The sequence below is a fragment of the Homo sapiens genome, chromosome 1 (genome assembly GCF_000001405.40).
Source record: "Homo sapiens chromosome 1, GRCh38.p14 Primary Assembly".
NCBI lineage: Eukaryota > Metazoa > Chordata > Mammalia > Primates > Hominidae > Homo > Homo sapiens.
In genome coordinates this window covers 6,262,221-6,280,488 of record NC_000001.11, presented here as the reverse complement: position 1 = coordinate 6,280,488, position 18,268 = coordinate 6,262,221, and the positions used below count along the sequence as shown (strand labels likewise).

The 18,268-nt window shown below is 59.3% G+C and overlaps 1 protein-coding gene across 5 annotated transcripts in view, besides 5 other annotated features; it reads left to right on the top strand.

Moving 5' to 3' along the window:
- ACOT7 (acyl-CoA thioesterase 7) overlaps positions 1-16,217 on the top strand; it is a 129,496-nt gene extending 113,279 nt beyond the window's left edge. For all 5 annotated transcript variants that reach the window (NM_007274.4, NM_181864.3, XM_047443399.1 and 2 more), the window contains exon 9: positions 15,794-16,217. In NM_007274.4, coding sequence (NP_009205.3) covers positions 15,794-15,892 — 99 coding nt within the window. In that variant the 3' untranslated portion in view covers positions 15,893-16,217. The remainder of the gene's footprint in view (positions 1-15,793) is intronic.
- Positions 107-972: an enhancer, noted in NCBI's record as "H3K27ac-H3K4me1 hESC enhancer chr1:6339577-6340442 (GRCh37/hg19 assembly coordinates)". NCBI's record gives its function as "activates a minimal SCP1, AML or CMV promoter by ChIP-STARR-seq in naive H9 embryonic stem cells {active_cell/tissue: H9 hESC(naive)}" and the evidence as "EXISTENCE:reporter gene assay evidence [ECO:0000049][PMID:30033119]".
- Positions 4,895-5,485: an enhancer, noted in NCBI's record as "H3K27ac-H3K4me1 hESC enhancer chr1:6335064-6335654 (GRCh37/hg19 assembly coordinates)". NCBI's record gives its function as "activates a minimal SCP1, AML or CMV promoter by ChIP-STARR-seq in primed H9 embryonic stem cells {active_cell/tissue: H9 hESC(primed)}" and the evidence as "EXISTENCE:reporter gene assay evidence [ECO:0000049][PMID:30033119]".
- Positions 6,700-6,866: a silencer, noted in NCBI's record as "fragment chr1:6333683-6333849 (GRCh37/hg19 assembly coordinates)". NCBI's record gives its function as "represses an EF-1alpha promoter that drives an FKBP-Casp9 reporter gene in an ReSE screen in phorbol 12-myristate 13-acetate-treated (for megakaryocytic differentiation) K562 erythroleukemia cells {active_cell/tissue: K562(+PMA)}" and the evidence as "EXISTENCE:reporter gene assay evidence [ECO:0000049][PMID:32094911]".
- Positions 9,628-10,218: an enhancer, noted in NCBI's record as "H3K4me1 hESC enhancer chr1:6330331-6330921 (GRCh37/hg19 assembly coordinates)". NCBI's record gives its function as "activates a minimal SCP1, AML or CMV promoter by ChIP-STARR-seq in naive H9 embryonic stem cells {active_cell/tissue: H9 hESC(naive)}" and the evidence as "EXISTENCE:reporter gene assay evidence [ECO:0000049][PMID:30033119]".
- Positions 10,219-10,810: an enhancer, noted in NCBI's record as "H3K4me1 hESC enhancer chr1:6329739-6330330 (GRCh37/hg19 assembly coordinates)". NCBI's record gives its function as "activates a minimal SCP1, AML or CMV promoter by ChIP-STARR-seq in naive H9 embryonic stem cells {active_cell/tissue: H9 hESC(naive)}" and the evidence as "EXISTENCE:reporter gene assay evidence [ECO:0000049][PMID:30033119]".

The following is an 18,268-nucleotide window of genomic DNA, read 5'->3' as shown; positions in this document are numbered from 1 at the left end:
TGCCCCCAGGTGTCCACATCCCCTGAGCTCTGCCACGTTTGAGAGCTGGTGGTTCTCCGCCTGGCATGGACTCTGTAGGGTCACAGACATCGACAGGGTTCGCGCGGCCCAAAGAGGCAGCTTCCCTGTCTCTGTCATAAGAACAGAGGTTCCCCATCCTGGCTGACCCCAGGGGCTCTGCAGCCTTTGGGGTGGTCCTGATTTCTCTTTGAACCAGCTCTTGTGTCTGTCACTGAGGGGAGCAAGAGGAAAGCAGAGCTGTAGGAGCTTCCTGCCCCTCCGGGGAGCGAGGATGCGGGAACAGAGCAGCTGGGAGCAGGCGGGTGCCCGCAGGCCTCTTGGGAGCTGGCGTTCTCATGGAAGTGGCCAGGCAGGCACCACGGCCCTGCGAGGCTGACCCCTGATTCCAGAGGTTCTCGAGGCCCCTGCCCCCGCGGCGTCTGCTCCCCACGCAGATCCGCAAGCATTTGCTGCTCAGCCTCCCGGAGAGGAGCGTGCACTGAAATCTCTGGGGCGAACATGCACTGAAAACCCATTCCTCTCAGAGCCTGGAGCACGGCCTGTCGCTTCCCCACATGGCTGAGGAGGGCCGCCGAGTCGCCCCAGCTGCTTTGTTTCCCAGTCGAGGCTGAGGCCCCTCCAAGCCCCTCTCCCAGCCCTGCCCCTTCCTGGAGTGGAGGAGCTCATGCCTCACCAGGGCCCGTGGTGGTAGCGCCAGGTGTGGTGTGTGAGCTGTCAGGCCCAGCGAGTACCCTCCGCTGCCAACTCCAGGCCAGCTCTTCGCTGGAGTTGGGTGCCGGCCTCTCCCAGGTCGGGTGGGCTGAGTAGAGGAGCTGATGGTGAACCTGGACTTGATGGATGAGGAGGACTCGGCCAGGCTGAAAGGAAGGAAAGTGAGTGGTGGGTGCCCCCAGCACGGCACTAACACAATGCCTGTGACCCACCCTTGCATGACTCTCGTGACCAGGCCCCTCTTTGACTTGGGGCTTACGAGGCATGCTCCCCTTCTGGTGCGAGGACTGCTCCATGCCTTCAGCCCCACAGCCTCTTCTGTGGCAAAGTACCCTAGGCTGCCACCCTCCTGCCCCATCAGGGCTGGCTCTGCTGCCTGCTCCTTCCTCCCTCATCTGCCCCCACCCCTCCCCATTTACTTGTAAGCCTACCCGCCTTGCCCTGGCCCACCGTGCCACCCATCGGCCCTTGGCAGGATGGTGTCCTCCCTCCACGTCGCCTGGGCTGGTCCGCAGTCGTTCCTCAGCCCCTGACCCTGCTATGAGGCTCCAGCCTCCTCTGTCCTTGACCTTCAGCCCTGTGTCTGGTTCTCCTTTCACCTTGGACACGCCTTCTCCAAACTTGCCTGCTTTTCTCGGCCATGAAGTATGGGCTCCACTCCCACCTGGGCCCGCTCTGGTCTCTCCCCATGGACCCGACGCCCCTCCCATGACGCTTTTCAGCGTGGCTGCTGTCTGTCCTGATGCTGAATCCCCCACCTGACCCAGGCACATTTCCGAAGCTCTCTCCTTCCCCGCCCCCTACCTCTTCCTGCCTCCTGGACAAACTTTCCCAGTTCTGTCTTCCCTCTGCGGGCAGCATGGACAGACGCAAGGACACGCCCTGTCTGCTGTCCGCTCCCTGTCTGTAGCACAGCTGACCAGGCCCTCAGTGAAGCCTGCGCTCCCTGGATGGGGGACCCTGTAGTGTCTGTAGGGATACTCCAGCCTCCCCGGCCACCACACGGTCCCCGAACCCTTGGCTTTGACATGTCCTAACCTGTGGCCCTTCTCTCCTGGGGTGGTCAGATCCATGGTCTGTGCCTCGAGCATCGCCTGTGTGTTGTATTGACTCCCAAATTGACTTGGCCAGTGCTGCCCCTCAACAGGGTTCCCAAAAGCATCACAAATACAGTTTGTCCTGAATGGAACTCATTATCACACCCGCAAAAAAATCCCTCTCCGCCTCTGTGCTGCTCTGGAAGTCTGGGAACCCAGCTGGCTCCTCCCTACTCCCCCCATGCCCACGCCCACCCAGTGCCGCTCCACTCCTCTCCCGAACAGCTCTTACTGCCCCGTCCCCATGGGGCCCCTGCTCAGTCCTCAGCTGCTCCTTCCTCTGTTCCTGGTGCTCTCAATGTGACCCTTCCCTGCAGCCCAGGAAACTGGTCATCAAAATCCGAGTTGCTCCCTCTCCCACCGAAATGCACGGTGGCTCCTCCATGCCCTGGGTGTGGGTGCAGCAAGCTCACTCCTGCCCGGCGCCTGTGCACCTGCTGCTCCCATCTGGACCACCCTCCCCAGAGCCTCCTGGAGCTACAGCACTTCTCAGACGTTTTTTCCTTAGAAGGGCACCCACAACCGCTCTAGAGAAGCGTCGCCTCCGCCACCCCAGACCCCCTCCCAACCACCCCCCGCCACTGCAGACGCTGCGTGGACTGTCAGGCTCACATATCCAGGAGCAGGCGCCTGGCTGCCCGGGTCAGCCAGAGCTCTAAACTTACTAGCTGTGTGGCCTTAGGCACGCACTTTCTATGTGCCTCGGTTTCCTCATCTGTACGGTGGTGATGGACACGGTGCCCACCATGTGGGGTGGGTGAAGATGGGGGGCCTTCATCATCTGCTGCTGTTCACCTGCTCTCCCTGGGGCCTCACACCCTCTCAGAGGGAGGAGTAAACAAACAGTGAAGATAGAGGAAGTTGAATGGTGTCCAGGGTCACGAAGAAGACAGCAGGGAATGAGGGGATCGGAGTGTGCCGGGGGACAGGTACAATTTTAAATATGTTCCTTCCCAAGGAAAGCCTCAGCGGAGGCCTGGAGTCAGGGAGGAAGGGCAGGAGCTGTCTTGTGGGGACCATTCAGGTGAAGGGAACGGCGAGGGCCAAAGGCGCAGAGCCACTGTCTGTAACGGGGGAGCTTGGGGACAGTGACACACCCGAGGCCACCCGGCTAGGACGGGGCAGGGCTGGGGAGAGAGGGCTGGTGGGAGTCTATGGGGCTCACGCATATGGGCGTAAAGTAGAGGAGGATCTGGGTGACCTGTGCTTTGAACAGGCTTCAGTGCAGGTTGATGGGGTGCCCTGGGGCATCTCCCAATAGCAGCCCTTCAAAGCTGATAGTGGGGGGCATCCTCCCAGGTTGGCAGCGGCTGCAGGCGTGGTTGGTGTTTGCCCACCAATGACGGTTCCCTCTCCCGGCTGCCCCCAGCTGGGCTGTGCACACTGGTTGTGGGGTCAGGACCACTGCACCTACCCCAGCACTCAGCTGGTTCAGGGAGACCAGTGCAGTGACCACGAGGGGCCAGCGATCCATGGGCTCTCAGGGAGGGGACCTCTGTGCCTCACGTTCCCCACTCCCTATAGAGTCCAACCTGAGGGGGTCCACCCTTGTGTGGATAGCAGCCTGCGGTCACGGAGGCTTTTGGGGCCGCGCCTGTGACCTTCCCAGAGCCAGCTGGGGAGCAGTCCTGGGGCCGCCCCTTCCAGAACTCCATACCCTGGGGGGGGGTGGTCAGAGTGCAGGAGGAGGGCCAGCCCTGGGGGAAGGGGCTGCAGAGGGGCAGGGAAGGGCGCCAGCTTGAATGGAGGGAATGGCAGCCCATCCCCTGGGTGTGGCCGCGTCATGTTGATCTACGCTGTTATTTCTCACTCATTAAAGATGGTCTTTGATTCTTCACTGAGGTGTCCTGGGGCCCATGGATGTCAATGTTGATGTTGATAGAAATAGCCACTGGCGGGGCAGGCTGCCCGGAGAGGGATTTTCAGCTCTCACTTGGGGACTGCCCACATGAGCACGAGTTCTGGGCTGGGAGCACGTGTGTGCTCCGTGCGGTGAACCTGCATGTGCGTTCCGTCCCTCCAGATGTGCCCTGGCGGCCCCTCCTCCTACTCCCAGTCGCCTCCCTCATCCCCACGTCAGCTTTCTTCAGCCTCCTGTCTATTTTTAGCTCCCTTCCCCAGGGCCTGGCTGACACGGATGCAGCCTCTCTGCTTGGAGTTGCGTCTCCATGAATATTTTATGCTGGGGGCTGCCGCACCCGCTCCGGGCAGCTGCCAGCACTTCCCGGTCTCGGTCTCGTATTAGAAGAGGCCAACTCAGCGCGTAGAGGCAGGCCTCCCCGTGGCAGTGCCCTCTGACCTTGGGCCGAAGGGGGCTGGAGAAGTGGCTTGTGGGGAGGGACAGCAGGACGCAGGCGGCAGCAGACAGATGTGGGAAGGCTTTTCAGCCTGCAGGAGGGTCAGAGCCGTGTGTCTGCTGAAGCGGAGGACGTCCCTGGCACCTCAGGTGGGGGCTGTACTTGCCTCTGATTCTTGCAGGCGTGGGCATTGTAGCCTCTACAGGCCCAGGGAGTTGGGGCTGAGAACTTGTGGGTCCCAGCCTGGGCCTGAGGAGGAGGTGTAGACAGGGCGGGGTGAGGGGCTCGCTGAGGCCCCTGACCAGGGAGAAGCCTGTAGCCTGTTCCATGGCTGTCAGGGCTGAGTGAGCGCCGTGACCCCACTGCTTCCTGGGCACACTGGGGAGGGGATGTGTCCCCAGATTAGCCGAGGCTCCAACTGTGCAACCACATTATGCAGGGCAGGGTCTTTGCAAAGCAGGCTTCCAAACTGGAGGGAGCCCATCCCAGAGGGTCTCTCTGGTGCTCATGAACACACATCTCCCGAGGTGGCCAGCCCAGGACTCCGAGCTTCAGTCTTTAGCCACCGAAATGTTTTCTGGATGGAAGTGGGAGGCAGTAATGAAGGCAGGTGCGGCCATCTTTTTTTTTTTTTTTTTTTTTTTTTGAGACGGAGCCTCACTCTGTCGCCCAACCTGGAGTGCAATGGCTGGATCTCGGCTCACTGCAACCGCTGCCTCCCGGGTTCAAACGATTCTCCTGCCTCAGCCTCCCGAGTAGCTGGGATTACAGGCGCATGCCACCATTCCTTATTAATTTTTGTATTTTTAGTAGAAATGGGGTTTCACCATGTTGGCCAGGCTGGTCTCGTGATCCACCTGCCTCGGCCTCCCAAAGTGCTAGGATTACAGGCGTGAGCTACCGCGCCTGGCCTAGCTGTGGCCATCTTTACCTTGCCTTTCAGAGCTGCCTCATGCATAGCCAGGGGAGTTCCAAGAACTCAGGGAAAACGCACCCTGTTGAGCTTTGTCCGCTCTGACGTGCCCCGACCTAGAAGAGGCCCTGAGACCCTTGGGCTCCTTCAGGTTGAGGGAGCCCTACCAGGCCGGGGGCCATTCTCAGCAGGTTTGTTTTCTGGTTAGGAAGCCAGGGCAGCTGGATGCAGAGGCTGCTGCCTGTCTCCTGGGTGGGCAAGGGACTGGAGGGGCAGGGGAGGCTTCCTCTTGGGTGGTGCCTGGGTACAGGTCATTGAAGCCGGAGGCTTCAGGGAACGCCAACCCCTCTGCGAGCTGGTGTGTCTGCTCACAGATGCTTCCCATCCCCAGACAGGAGGCGGGCACCAGGCAGGGAGTCACTCGCCAGGGGTCGCACGGCCAGCAGGCCCATCTGTGACTTCACTGACTGGGAAAGGGGGCCGCTCACTGCTGTCATCGATGCCACTGTGCTTTCTCCCAGCCAGGCCCTACTGTGGGGTCCTGGGAGGAGCCCTGCCTGAGAACCCTTCTGTGCAAGAACCTAAACCCTGGGAGTCCCAACGCGCTGCCCACCTGCACTGCGCCGCCCACCCACACCGCGCTCAGCCCAGGGCCTTTGCTTCAGCCCCAGATGATCTCAGGACCAGTGCTGGGCAGGTGACTGAACCTCCACAGGCCACTGTGGAGTGTGGGGGTTGGGGCACATTTTAGTGGAAAGTTTTCCACTCCAGTTTGATTCTTTTGCCTCTGCTGGGGCCTTATGTGAGGCGTGGCCTCAGCACAGACCCACACAACTTTCAGAAGGCTCTGGAACATGGTGCCCACCTCGCTTCTGCTGCTGCCCTATGACCTCCTTCTCCTGGCCTCAGCTGGTTCACCTGCATGAGTGCAGGGGCCGGGTAAGCCCCGCGCCAGCCGAGAGGACAGCGTGGCATGGGCTGGAGCGTCCGGAAGGAGGGCACTGTTTGACCTGCTGTTCAGCTGGAGGGGCGGGATGGGCCCCAGGGCTTAAGTCAGCTGAAAGGCCCTCTGCAGCCTTCTGGAAGTTGTCTGCCATGCAGTGCTGAGGGCCACAGCTTTGTGACGCACTGATGTGGGGGCTGCAGACAGAGCAGGCTGGAGATGCCTCTTGGCTGTGGCTGTCTTGAGCCGTCGCCAGGCTGTTACCCCAAGTTCCCTCTCCGTGCCTTCTCAGTGATGCTGTAATTGGAAGGTCCCTCGCCCCTTTGCACTTAGGAGGAAGCATGGGGCAAGCTTTCCATGATGGTGCCTGCTGCTCCCCACCCCCAGGACCTGCCTGACCCCCAGGCACGGTGTGCAGAGGGGCCTGGGGTCCTCGCATGGGCCCCGTTCCTCTCGAAGAAGCCTCAGGAGCAGAGGTGGCCATTCCTGACCGTGTCCAGGCCGGACCAGGACAAGAAGAGAGGTCCGGTCCCAGGATGTAGGACAGAGAAAGAGGTCCCCACGTGGGGCCTTTGTCACGGGGCAGGGCCCTAGGGTCTCTGCTGCCTCGACATCCTAGACACCCCGTTGCCACAGGCTCCTGCTGGCAGGGAGGGGCCGCACCTACTCCCAGAGAATTTCACTAGCAAAAGAGTGGGCGGAAGCACTGTGTGGTGGCCGCGCGCAGCCTCTGCACTCGCCCTGGGATGGGCACCGCTGCGCCCGTGTGCGGGCTCTTACACTGGCTTCCTTTGTTTGTTTGGCCAAGATTGGACTTTTGGAATAATTTTTTAATTGTTGACTAATTTAGGAAATTCAGCTGTTACTGGAGTGCAGAAGGTTGACGGTGTGTTCCTGGAAGGGCTTGGTGAACCGCCTGCCGCGTTTGGCCATTAGTGAGGGAAGCCCTGCCCCCCTCCTGCCCCCACCTTGCTGCCAGCCCACAGGCGTGAGTCATGGACTGGAATATTCATGAGGCTCAGAATCCAGTGTCGTGCTCTCTGTTCCTTTTGCCTGCATTTAGCGGGAGTCAGTCTTGTGATGGGAAAATACCTGCATCCTGAAGCTGCCCCTGTCGCCTCATTGGTTAGCGCTTAGGAACATCCGGTGGCCAGTGAGTCCCATGTGCCTAGAACCCGAGCATGGGTGCTGAGAAGGAGGTTGGCGCAGATGAGAGCATGTAGCCCTCCCCTCCAGCCTGGCTCTCGCCTTCCCTCTGCCTGAGCCCAGACTCTTTCTCCAGCCACCTTTCATGTTTCTGCTCTGCATATATCTCTGAAAGATCCACTGTGTCCAGACAGCCACACACTGGCCCTTCTGAGCGGCACTGGTAGGTAGCTCTTCTGATGCCACTGTGGCCTAACCGGCTGCGGGGGGTTAAAAACCCACCTGGGCACAGTGAGCTGCTCATGTTCTCCCCCTGGAGGTTTACAGAAGGCTCTGCTCAGAGCCAGGCCTGGGGGGCATACAACAGAGTGTGGGATGGAGCCTTGGGGCCTCTCTGTCCCCACTGCTGTCAGATTTGTGACACGGACAGAGTGAGCACTGCCAGGAGGGGGGCTGTACCAGGAGAGGCCCGTGGGTGGGATTTCCAGAGGATTCAGTGAACCGAGGGAGCATCCCGGCTAGACCCAGGGTGCTGCGGAAGGTGAGCGAGAGATCTGTCAGGGAGGCCTGGAAAGGTTGTTGGGCCCATGTGAGGTCCTGGCCATGGGACTTGGAGTTTTTCAGCAGGGCGAGTTCATGCCTGGAGTATCCTGGGGCTGGAGGCCGCCCACTTGGCTCGGCGCTCTCAGCAAGGGGTGTGGAGTGTCCTGGCAAAGGCTCTTTGCGGCCAGACACACATCTTGAGCCCTGCAAGCAAAGGTGCAGGAAGAAACAGGCCCTGTGCCCCACACGGTGGTAGAAAGGATGCAGAGCCCTCCCCACCTGTGTGTGCAGGATCAGAAGCAAGTCCCCAGCATGGCCACAGAGCTGGCCCATCTCCAGGGGGATGGCCAAGCCTAGGTGTGCTGGACACTCTCATCTCATCTTTGTCACTGTTGCAGGCTCCTGTTCAGACCCTCCATGGTCTGAGCCCCCTGGAATTGATTGGGGACAGATGATGCCAGTGTTCATTGAGCAGAAGTACTGGTTTTGAATTGTTAACATAAAGACCATCCCTATTTAGAATTAAGCCTTTTTGATCTTCATTTGTTTGATCATTCATTCATTCATTCATTCATCCATCCAGCAAACACCTCCTGTGCCCCTGCTATGTCCAGGCATGGTGCTGGCCTCCAGCAGGACAGGAAGGGCTCCACAGGGCATAGCACAGAGTGGGCACACGCACAGCAGAGGTGTGCCATGAGCACGCGGCTTCTGGCCCAGGCCTAGCCCACAGTGGGCACTCAGCAGGTGACAGCTATGATCATTATTGGTGTTGTAGGGTGGGGACCGCCATGTCCACACTCCGGCACAAGAGCTGTGAGCCGAGCGTCCCGGGACCACGGCACTCCGTGCCTGCAGGAGGGGCTCCTGAGAGGCCACCACCCAGGCCCAAGTCCCAATGCCTTTTCTCCCCTTTGTGGTGACGATCTCCCTGCCTCCGCCAGCAGCCTCCCGTTGGCCTTTACGCCTCCTTTCTTGGCCCCACTTGGGGGCAGTTCTTTCGGAGTCTGAGCCGGTGCTGCTGGGTGAGGGGAGCCCCTGGTGAGGGTGTTTATGACTCTCCACAATGATCTCATTATTTGAGACTTCCGGCTGCTTTCTGCTGGAGGCTGGTGCAGTCCTGGGTGGGTGTGGAGGAGGAGGTAATTAACCCAGGCCTGCAGCTGCTGGGAGAGGCCACAGCGGATGGCGGAGAGGCCACAGCGGATGGCGGACAGGCTCCGCTAAGGCAAGGTCCTCAGGTGGAGCAAGACCCTGGGGGCACAGGTGCTTGTGAGGCTGGTGGTCCTGGTGCTAAGCTCATCATTGCTGGCTTCTCCATGCACAAGGCCCCTCGCCCGGCCGTGCTGAGTGTCCTCAATAATGAGATGTTTTCATTGCTTTTGTGATTATCCCAAGACCCCTCTTGTCTCCTGTTATAACAGGGAGAGGGCATGCTACGTGGCTTCCTAATTAAGAAGGTCTGTGTCCCTCAGGCTTACAGGAAGTTGTTATATCACCACTGGAAACCCTTTTTACGCCATTCATTAATTACAAAAAGGACAAGCTATTGATTTTACCGAGGGTGGAACTTAGTCACTCGTCCTCCATACCATGTTCCAAATGTGTGTTCTCCAAGCACAGAAAATGCAAAGTGGAAAACATTTGGTTTGCAGCACTTGGCTCTGAAAGCCACAGGCTTCCCCTCCAGTGGAAGAGAGCCCAGAAGACAGCAGTGGCAGGAAGCACTAAGTGGAGGGAGGAAAAAGATGCAGACCCCAGGCCCAGGCAGCCACTAGGCTGCAGGGGAGCCAGGGGCTTGGTGCTGAGTGCCAGGCGGTGCTCCCTGAGCACCAGGGAGGGAGCGTACTGTCAACCTGCTACCTTGGGACCCTCCCCACCCCTGCGTCCCCATGTGTGGGTGTGACATCCTAAAGGGCCCGCTGCGTTAAGGTGACCCCGGGCCATCTGGCCCTCCTTTGGGGCAGCCACACACCAGCAGGACAGTCCTTGGAGCAGTTCCCAGGCTGCACTTGGCCTCAGGTATTTCTGAGGACAGCAGGACCACCACACAGACACACACACATGCACCAGGGACCGCAGACACATGTGCACACACACGTAGGAGCTCACGTGCACCGGCACCATAGGAAGCACTTTGCCATGTCACTTTGTTGAGTTCCTGTTTCCAGGTGAACAAACCTGGCCCTGGGCCACACAGCTGGGCCCGTGGGACTCAGAGTCCTGCTCCTGGCCATGCTGCCCCATCCCTTCCATCAGGCAGGTGCCCGGGATACATGGGGGTCATGTGCCCTGAGCTGCCCTTTGCCACCTCATCCTTTCTCTCTGGCATATTCTTGGGGAGCCCCAGAGGCTCGGAGGAGCCTGCCTGAGGCCACAGGTGGGTGCCCGGCAGCTGGCACCACTGGCCAGTGCCCCAGAGGCTCCAGTCCTTCCCCCACCAGCAGCCTCGGGGACTTGAGAGAGACATCTGTCTTCCCGCAGAGCGTTCTTTCGTCCTCCACCCACCCCCAACCCTCCATTAAAAACAGCAACAGCCAACAGCGTATGCATTTATTTACTTTGCTGGGTGGAGGGAGATGGCTGCGAGGAGGCAGCAGCCGGGCCGTGGGTGGGGCCTTGTGCTGGAGACATCTGTCTTGCTCTGTCAGCTTCTCACCCAGCGGGACAGGGTGGCCCCTTTGTCACTTGGGTAGGAGAACTATTTAGCAAAGCCATGACCTGGGGAGGCTGGCTGCCCACCAGCAGTGAGCCCGTAACCTACCATGGGACAGACACCGCCCCGCGGCCCTTTGTTCCACCTCCCCCTGGGTGGTGAGCCTGGGTCCTCAGGCACCTGGGACATCCCTGCCCTTGACTGCCATCTTCATAAACCTTCACCCTGGAAGGGCGCCCCTGGGCACTCAGGGAGGAAGGCCGCCCGCACCTTGGGAGGGCAGCGCTTATGGGCGGGCACTCCACGCAGTGACGTTGAGGCTCCTGGGCTGGTCTGGACTCTGTCTCAGAGCCTGGAACATCCAGCAGATACTACCATCCCGGGAGACGGGAAGAGCAGTGGGGCCCTCACAGGCTCTCAGGCTCCCACACATCCATCCATCATCAGACAGCATTTGCTTTGTCTGAGGGCAGAGCCTGGCTGATGAGTTTGCTGCAAATATTAAAGAGCAGGGCCACATCAGAGCCGCCTTGGGGCCCGTTGCTGGGCACCAGATTCTCCCTCAGCCTGGAGCCGACCCTGAGAATGACCTGCACCTGGGCTCGTGCCCGCCTCAGGCTGTGTATTAACTGACCTCGAGAGAAGCAGTCACAGCCCTCGGCCTGTGGCATTGGGAATGCTCGATGGCCTGGTGGCCGCTGGGGTGGGAGCAGCTGTAGTGGTTTGGGATAATATGGCTGAGGGCAGGGCAGGGCCCCCGCCTGGGGGAGGCCAAGCTCAGCAAGTGCTCCTAGGCTGTGCCGAGGGCCGGGGTGAGGTGAGGGGAGGCAGGGAAGCCCCTGACCCTGGTTCATCGTGGACACGCTGCAGGTCCATCGCCTTCCTCACTTCCCATGGACGAGTCCCACCCCTAAAAGTCCCTCGGCATAGGACGACCTGGAGGGCAGCCCCCATGCCCAGGTTTAAATGGAGGCTCTCCCCTTACCCGCTGTGTCACTTTGGGCAAGTTACTCAGCCTGTCTGTGCTTCACTTCCTCATTGGTAAAAGTGGACAATCATTTCTGTGCTGCTTGGTGGGGTTGTTGGGAAGACCCTGATGTGCACAGCCTGCCGCGCCCTAAGCATGGGTTGCGCAGGGAATATCCCCTTATCGCTGTAGTCCCTGCCCCACGTGCACAGCCCATGTGGGGGCAAAGGGGTGGGAGGGCTCTCGTCTGCAGTGCCTTCTGCAGACCCAGAGTTGGGTGGTCCTCCCACGCCCTCGGCGGCTGGAGGGCTGTGGTCACATCTCTGGTAAAGATGCCGAGAGCTGTAGGAAGTTACTCCTATTCCACTCCCAGGTGGTCATGGAGGCCAGATCGTTAGGGGACTCGAGGGCTCCGCTCCACTGCTGCGTGTGGCTGGCAGAGGTGAGGACCGGGCTGTATGAAGCCCTGGAGGTTTTCTCGCTCTTGGGCGGAGATCTCCCTGCCGTTCGGGCCGTGCCGCGTGCGTGGGGCCTGGGGCCCATCACACACCTATGAACTGGACCAGAAGGAGCATGGTCCTGAGTTAGCTCTTAGCGCCTCTTGGCGGGGAGTGGGGAAAATCGCGCCTGTGCACAGCCCAGACGGCTCCCTCAGCTCTGCCCGCAGCCCACCGCTTGTAAAGCCAAGTCCCCGTCTCTTTGGGGCCTGGAGATCATTGGTGCCTAGGGAAGAAAGGAGGGGCTGGTTTTCCTAGATCTAGGTCTAGTTAGTTTTTTGCTTTTCTAGCTTTTTAATTATAGAAAAGGTCAAATATACGCAAAAGTAAAGAGAAGAAAGAATTCCTGTGTAGTTATTAGCTCAGGGCCAGTCTTATGCGTTGACAGCCCTGACTACTCCCCCACCACAGAGAGCTCTCAACTGTGGAGGTTTTCTCTTTTAACAGCTTTACTGAGATGTAATTACATGCCGTTCTGTTCACCCACTTCCAGGATACGATTCAGCAGGTTTTCTTCTATTCACAGAGGTGGACATCCCCCGCCACAGTCTATTTCAAAACCTTTTATCTCACCAAAAAGAAGCACCACCCCTTAGCCACCACTGGTCCCCCAGCCCCAGGCAACCGCCAATCCACTTTCTGCCTCTGTGTATATGTCTCTCCTGGACATCTCGTGTAAATGGGTGATAGGCAGACCCTGTGACCGGCTTCTTTCACTGTGTTGTTTTTAATGCCTGGTTGAACATGGGCTGCAGGGAGAAATTTGGTCCCCGCAACTCTGCTGTGAGGTGGACATTGGCCCATTTTACAAAAGAGGAGTCGATGTGAGTCAGTGGTGAATCAGGATTCACACCCGGCTCCAGGGTTGAAGATGCTGGGCTGGTTTCCAGGCGGAATGAAGAGACCATCCCAGGAAGGGCACACAGCATGGTTGGGTCCCAAGGTGGGCAAGCCTCTGCCTGAAGCAGCCCATCCCAGAGGCGGGGCAGAGCTTGGTTCCTTATGAAAGGGATCCCTGGCCAGCTCAGTTTGAGAAAGGCGAAAGTTAAACAGATTTGAGACGTTTCAGAACCTTCATCCCAGTGTGCATTGTTTATTGTAAGAGGCCATTTAGTGCATAGATCCCCAAACCTGCCTGGTACAGACCATCAGAGAGGCATCATCTCCCAGTGGAGTTGGGGAGGGAGCCCAGAGGATCTGCAGACACAGACAGGCAGGCAGGCAGGCAGGCAGGCATCTCCTGACCTGGCAGCCCTTCCTCAGCCCCTCTCCAGGGCCCTGGCCTTGGACGGGCCATTCCCACCAGCCCCCCAGGACACCCATGGTAACAGCTCCTAAGCTGGTGGCGTTGGCTCCGCAGAGCCATTTGCCACCTCTCTTGGCCCCTCCTGGTCCTCTGGTACCTGAGAGCATGTGGCTGGGGACTCAGGCACTTGGGGACCAAGTTTCTCGCCAGTCTCCCACATCTGCACATTCCCAGGAAGTTGCCTCTCCTCAGGCCGGACCTGGCTCCTGTGGGCTGGGTGGGGGCTTCAGCTGTGTCCCTTCTCACTCCAGCTGCCTTTCCTGGGCCAGGCTCGCTCTCTCCTGCTTTCAAGGATTCTTTTTCTTTCCAAGCTCCTTGCCGTCTTTCCTCTCTGTGGAGGGCAGATACTCCACCAGCTAGAGGGAGGACCCGAGCCGAGGGGCCAGGCTTTCAGACTGGGAGGCGCCTGAGTGCGATCCAGCCTGCCCGTCCCCAGCTCTCCTGCTCCCAACCCGATGTCTCCCAGGGCTGCCACAGCCACTCCAAAGCCAGCAGAACCCAGTACCAACCCCACCAGGTCCTGTTGCCTTGTCGCCCAGCTCTGGGACCCCATGCCCACCCTACAGCTCTTGCTCTGCCTGCTACAGGGTCTTCAAGGTAGGCAGGAAGCCAGGCTGTGGGCGGCCGCTCCTCTGCTGAGCCTCGGCCTTGCCGCTGCAGGCAGACAAGAAGCTGCAGCTTCCCTCCACATCACCAAGCAATTCCACAGGGGAAGGGGAGGACAAGGCCCCTATATCCCATCCTGGTGGCTTTGACCTTGCATTCTTGGCCACTTCAGATGTGCCCCATTTGGGGCAGCGGCAGATGGAAAGGGGGCAGGGCCCTGCTACACAGATGTGGTCCGCGGGCCACAGCGTTGTGTCACCTGGGATCCTGTTAGAAGTGAGTCTCAGCTCCCAGACCCACTGGATCAGAATCTGCATTTACAAGACTGGCAGATGACTCAGATGCACTTAAAAGTTCAAGAAGCCCTGATCTAGCACATTCTGCCTCAGTGTGCACAGAGGTCTTCAGCTGTGCCCAGCAGGATGTAGCCATGTATGTCTTCAGGGGAGCTTGTCATCTGCAGGGGCTGCGCTCTGTGCCCTCCAAGCCCAGGAAGCTCAGGGGTCTTGCCCACTGAGAAGTGCTGCTGGAACTGAGAAAGAACATTTCATTTTCCCTGGACTGTTTCAGGTCAAATTGCATAGCCTCAAATTTTATTTTTAAAAGTCAGCCAGAGATCAAACCGTAGCAGCGGGAGGGACTTCTTCAATAAAGTGTCTTGGAAAAGCAGTTTTCCTGTGTACACCGAAGACTCTTCAAAGGGGGACCAGGACCGCTGCAAGGAGCGCCACCTATTTCTTTAAATACCCGAAGATTCCATTGGCTCCAGGCCGGCGAGGTTTTGACAGTTTACACCTGGTGACATTTAGAGACTGATTTTGGAGAGAGCTGAGGGGAGGAGGCATTTGGTATAACTTGACATTACATCCTCTGGCTGACTGCGCTCTCTCTTGCCAATATACCATTTGTCTATGAAACACTTAGGCCCAAAAATAGCTGTACAGTTTGGTGTCATTGTGGATGAAATGAAGGGCAACTGCCCCATCTCTTTGGCTTTCAGACACCCTCAAAATGTTGCGATGAAATGTCCCAGAGGAATTAGCACAGCTCATTAAACCTGAATTCCCAGCCAGGGTGGGGCCAGTCAGAACATGGCGTTGGGACAGATGGGACATCAGAAGTGACCACCTAATACTCCAGGGGTGGCACCTGCCCAGGGGCCACAAGACAGAGTGAAAGGGGGTGCCGTTCATAATCGCAGCCCGTCGACAGGCATGAACCAGGACCGTCCTGGGCAGAACCCCGTCTTGGGCCAAATCCCACCTGTTCAGTTGGCTCTGCCCCCAGACCAATGAGATGGGGTCCCTGGGGTCCAAGGTGCCGCCTCCTGAGTGTACGGTCCAGAGCGTGGTGACAGGGCTCCCTCCCAACAAAGCAGGCCTATTGCTCCCAGTACGGGGCGGGGCCTTCTCAAGGCCATAGGCAGCACAGCATCTGCCCACTTCTCGCTGGGGCAATGGCCGTGTGCAGCTGGCTTTCCCCACTTCTCTCCGGGGCGGTGACCGTGTGCAGCTGGCTTTCCCCACGTCTCTCTGGGGCAGTGACCGTGTGCAGCTGGCTTTCCCCACTTCTCTGCGGGGTGGTGACTGTGTGCAGCTTTCCTGGGAGTGCAGCGAATGCAGGGTCCCTCTTCCTTTCCACTTCCGTTCAGCTCCCATGTTTCATTATCAAGTGCATTTTCCACCGAAGTCCAGTAGCAAACAGGCCCTGGGCTTGGAGGTCACCTGCTGTGAAAGGTGGTGAGAGGATGTCACAGGGCTCGGCACTTCACTGACTGCTTCTGACCCGCCATGCCCTTAGTGTCTCCTCTATGGAGCTCTGCCACCTGTGGCTCCTGCGGCCCCTCAAAGCATCTTGGCTGAACATACCCAGCCCAGTCAATAGGCCCATCAGCGAGGTGGGACATGAGCCCCATGCCTGGGCTACCCGGCAGTCCCAGGAGGCCAGCGGGGCCGAGGCGTGGTACTCAGCATGCACCAGGGGTGGGGCAGATCCCACGGGTGGGGGGCAGGGCCCCAGGCCAGGTCACAAGGCCACGGCACTGGTTCTGCAGTGACCCTAACCTGCCTGTCTCTGTGTGTGGTCCACAGCCCGAGACCGAGGACGAGAAGAAGCGCTTTGAGGAAGGCAAAGGGCGGTACCTGCAGATGAAGGCGAAGCGACAGGGCCACGCGGAGCCTCAGCCCTAGACTCCCTCCTCCTGCCACTGGTGCCTCGAGTAGCCATGGCAACGGGCCCAGTGTCCAGTCACTTAGAAGTTCCCCCCTTGGCCAAAAACCCAATTCACATTGAGAGCTGGTGTTGTCTGAAGTTTTCGTATCACAGTGTTAACCTGTACTCTCTCCTGCAAACCTACACACCAAAGCTTTATTTATATCATTCCAGTATCAATGCTACACAGTGTTGTCCCGAGCGCCGGGAGGCGTTGGGCAGAAACCCTCGGGAATGCTTCCGAGCACGCTGTAGGGTATGGGAAGAACCCAGCACCACTAATAAAGCTGCTGCTTGGCTGGACCCACGTGTCCTGGGTGGTCATTTGTCTTGGGGGGGCTGCTTTCCCAGGGGGTGTGGGACATTGGGGCTCCCGTGGACAGTCTCAGCCCTCCCAGCACCAGCACCTGCATGTACCCTAGAACCTCAGGCACAGCCACACCGATTGGTGTCCGGCTGGTGACTTGCTGGCTATGAATGCCCATTTCCCGTGGGTCCCTGGTTTGGTGTCCTGGCCCCAGACACCCTGGCTCCCTGGACCTCATAGGCAGCCCAGATGCTGGGAGGATGTGGGCTCAGGGCCACGCTGCCTGGTGGGAGTGCCAGCACCCCACAACCCCCCTGTCTGGCTTGCAGAGGATGCCGGCTCTGAGCCTGTGTGGCTTTCCTATGAACAGGGTGGGGCTGCTGGGAAAGACTCAGCGAGGTGATGGTGTGGGAAGAGCCAAATGTGGCCTGGCTCAGCGTGTGGGAGCCCCACCCTGACCCAGCCTCTTGCTAGAAACTGCCTAGACACCCCAAAATCCTGTCTGAAGGAGCCCCCCAGCTGGCGCCAGGACTCTGTGCCTGACGTGGAAACTCCCCCAGCCACTCAGGCAGGAGTCTGCTGGGATGGCTTATAGGGCAGGGGTCTGAGGGACAGCACGAATGTGTGTCAGTGCCGTTGGTGTGAAGCTGTGGGCATACGTGTCACTGACATATCTGTGCATGTGCGTGTGCATCTGTCTGCATATCTGTGAGCACGTGTGTGGTGAGGGTATCGGTGTAGCAGGGTTGATCTGTGCATCTGGCCCAGCCAAGGCCACTACAGGGACCAGGACCCCACCTGCATCCATGGCTGAAAAGGAGGCCCTCCAATCAAGCACACCCAGAAGTGGCATCTGGGAGAATGTTCCCAATTCAGTCTGTCCCTGAAGCCCCAACATCTGTCCTGCCGCCTGGAGAAGACTGGCCCGTCAACAGCTGCGGCCTCGCACAAGGCTCCCTCTGGCCCCTGGAGAGCGAGGACTCGGCTCCAGATGTGCAGAAACACCAGCCAAGAGCTTGGGAATCTGTCCCGGGCCCCAGTCACGGCTGACGGGGTTATTTCCTGTCTGGGAGGGGGTTGGAGGTGGGAGGGACAAGCTCAGCCACATGAAGCTTCTGCCACGCCACCATGCCCCTTGGCCCCCCGGGGCTGGCCTCAGCCAGCCTCGGCCCCCAGCTCCACCCATGACCCATGCCAGAATGGTGCCCTGGGTTCAGAGCAATGAGGAGGCCACCCTTCCCAGCTAGCAGAAGGCCCAGGGCTGGCCACAGCAGTGCCTGAGCCCAGGGGCTCACTGAGGGGACCAGTTCCCCAAAGCACCCACACCCTTCACTTGAAGTTGGGCCCCGCATCAGACTCCCTAGTTCAGTCCTGGCTCAGCCACTCATCCGTGTGGCTTTGGGCAAACCAGGCACCTGAAAACCGCCTCCCAGGGGCACCGGGCACTTTGCAGCAGAACCCAGCACAGCACGAAATAAGCCAGGGCCCCGGGGCGGCCATCAGAGGCCATCTCCCACCTGCCCTAGAGCCAGCTGAGGCCGGGCAGAGGCACTGGTCCAGGCAGTGGGTCAGCTGGGCTGGCAGAGGGGAGCCAGGCCCAGACAGAGGCATGGCTCTCCATGGCTGTGTGTGCAATCTTAACCGTGGTGTTTCTAAGCGGCATGGCTCTCGGTGGCCATGTAATTAAGTGTGGCGTTTCTACCGTTTCACCCCGAGTCACAGGCGAGACACTTAGAAACACCACCCTTGATTACAGCTGCCCTGTGCCAGCCTCCCACTGCTGGTGGCCTATTTATAACCAGGACCACCTGGAGGGGGAGCCAACCTGTCCACAGAGGGCTCACTGGGGACACTGAGGGCCCTGGCTGCCCGAGAAACCACAGGGAGTATAGGTGTGCATGGCCCCAGATTCCCCCTTGCTCAGCCCCACACGTTATTGCGGGGCCTTTCTCTACAGACACTCCTCTTTTTGTCTCATGGGACGGACCCTAAGACCCATCCTGGGCCCCCTAAAAGCTGCTCAGGGACCTGGGGTGTGGGGACGGTT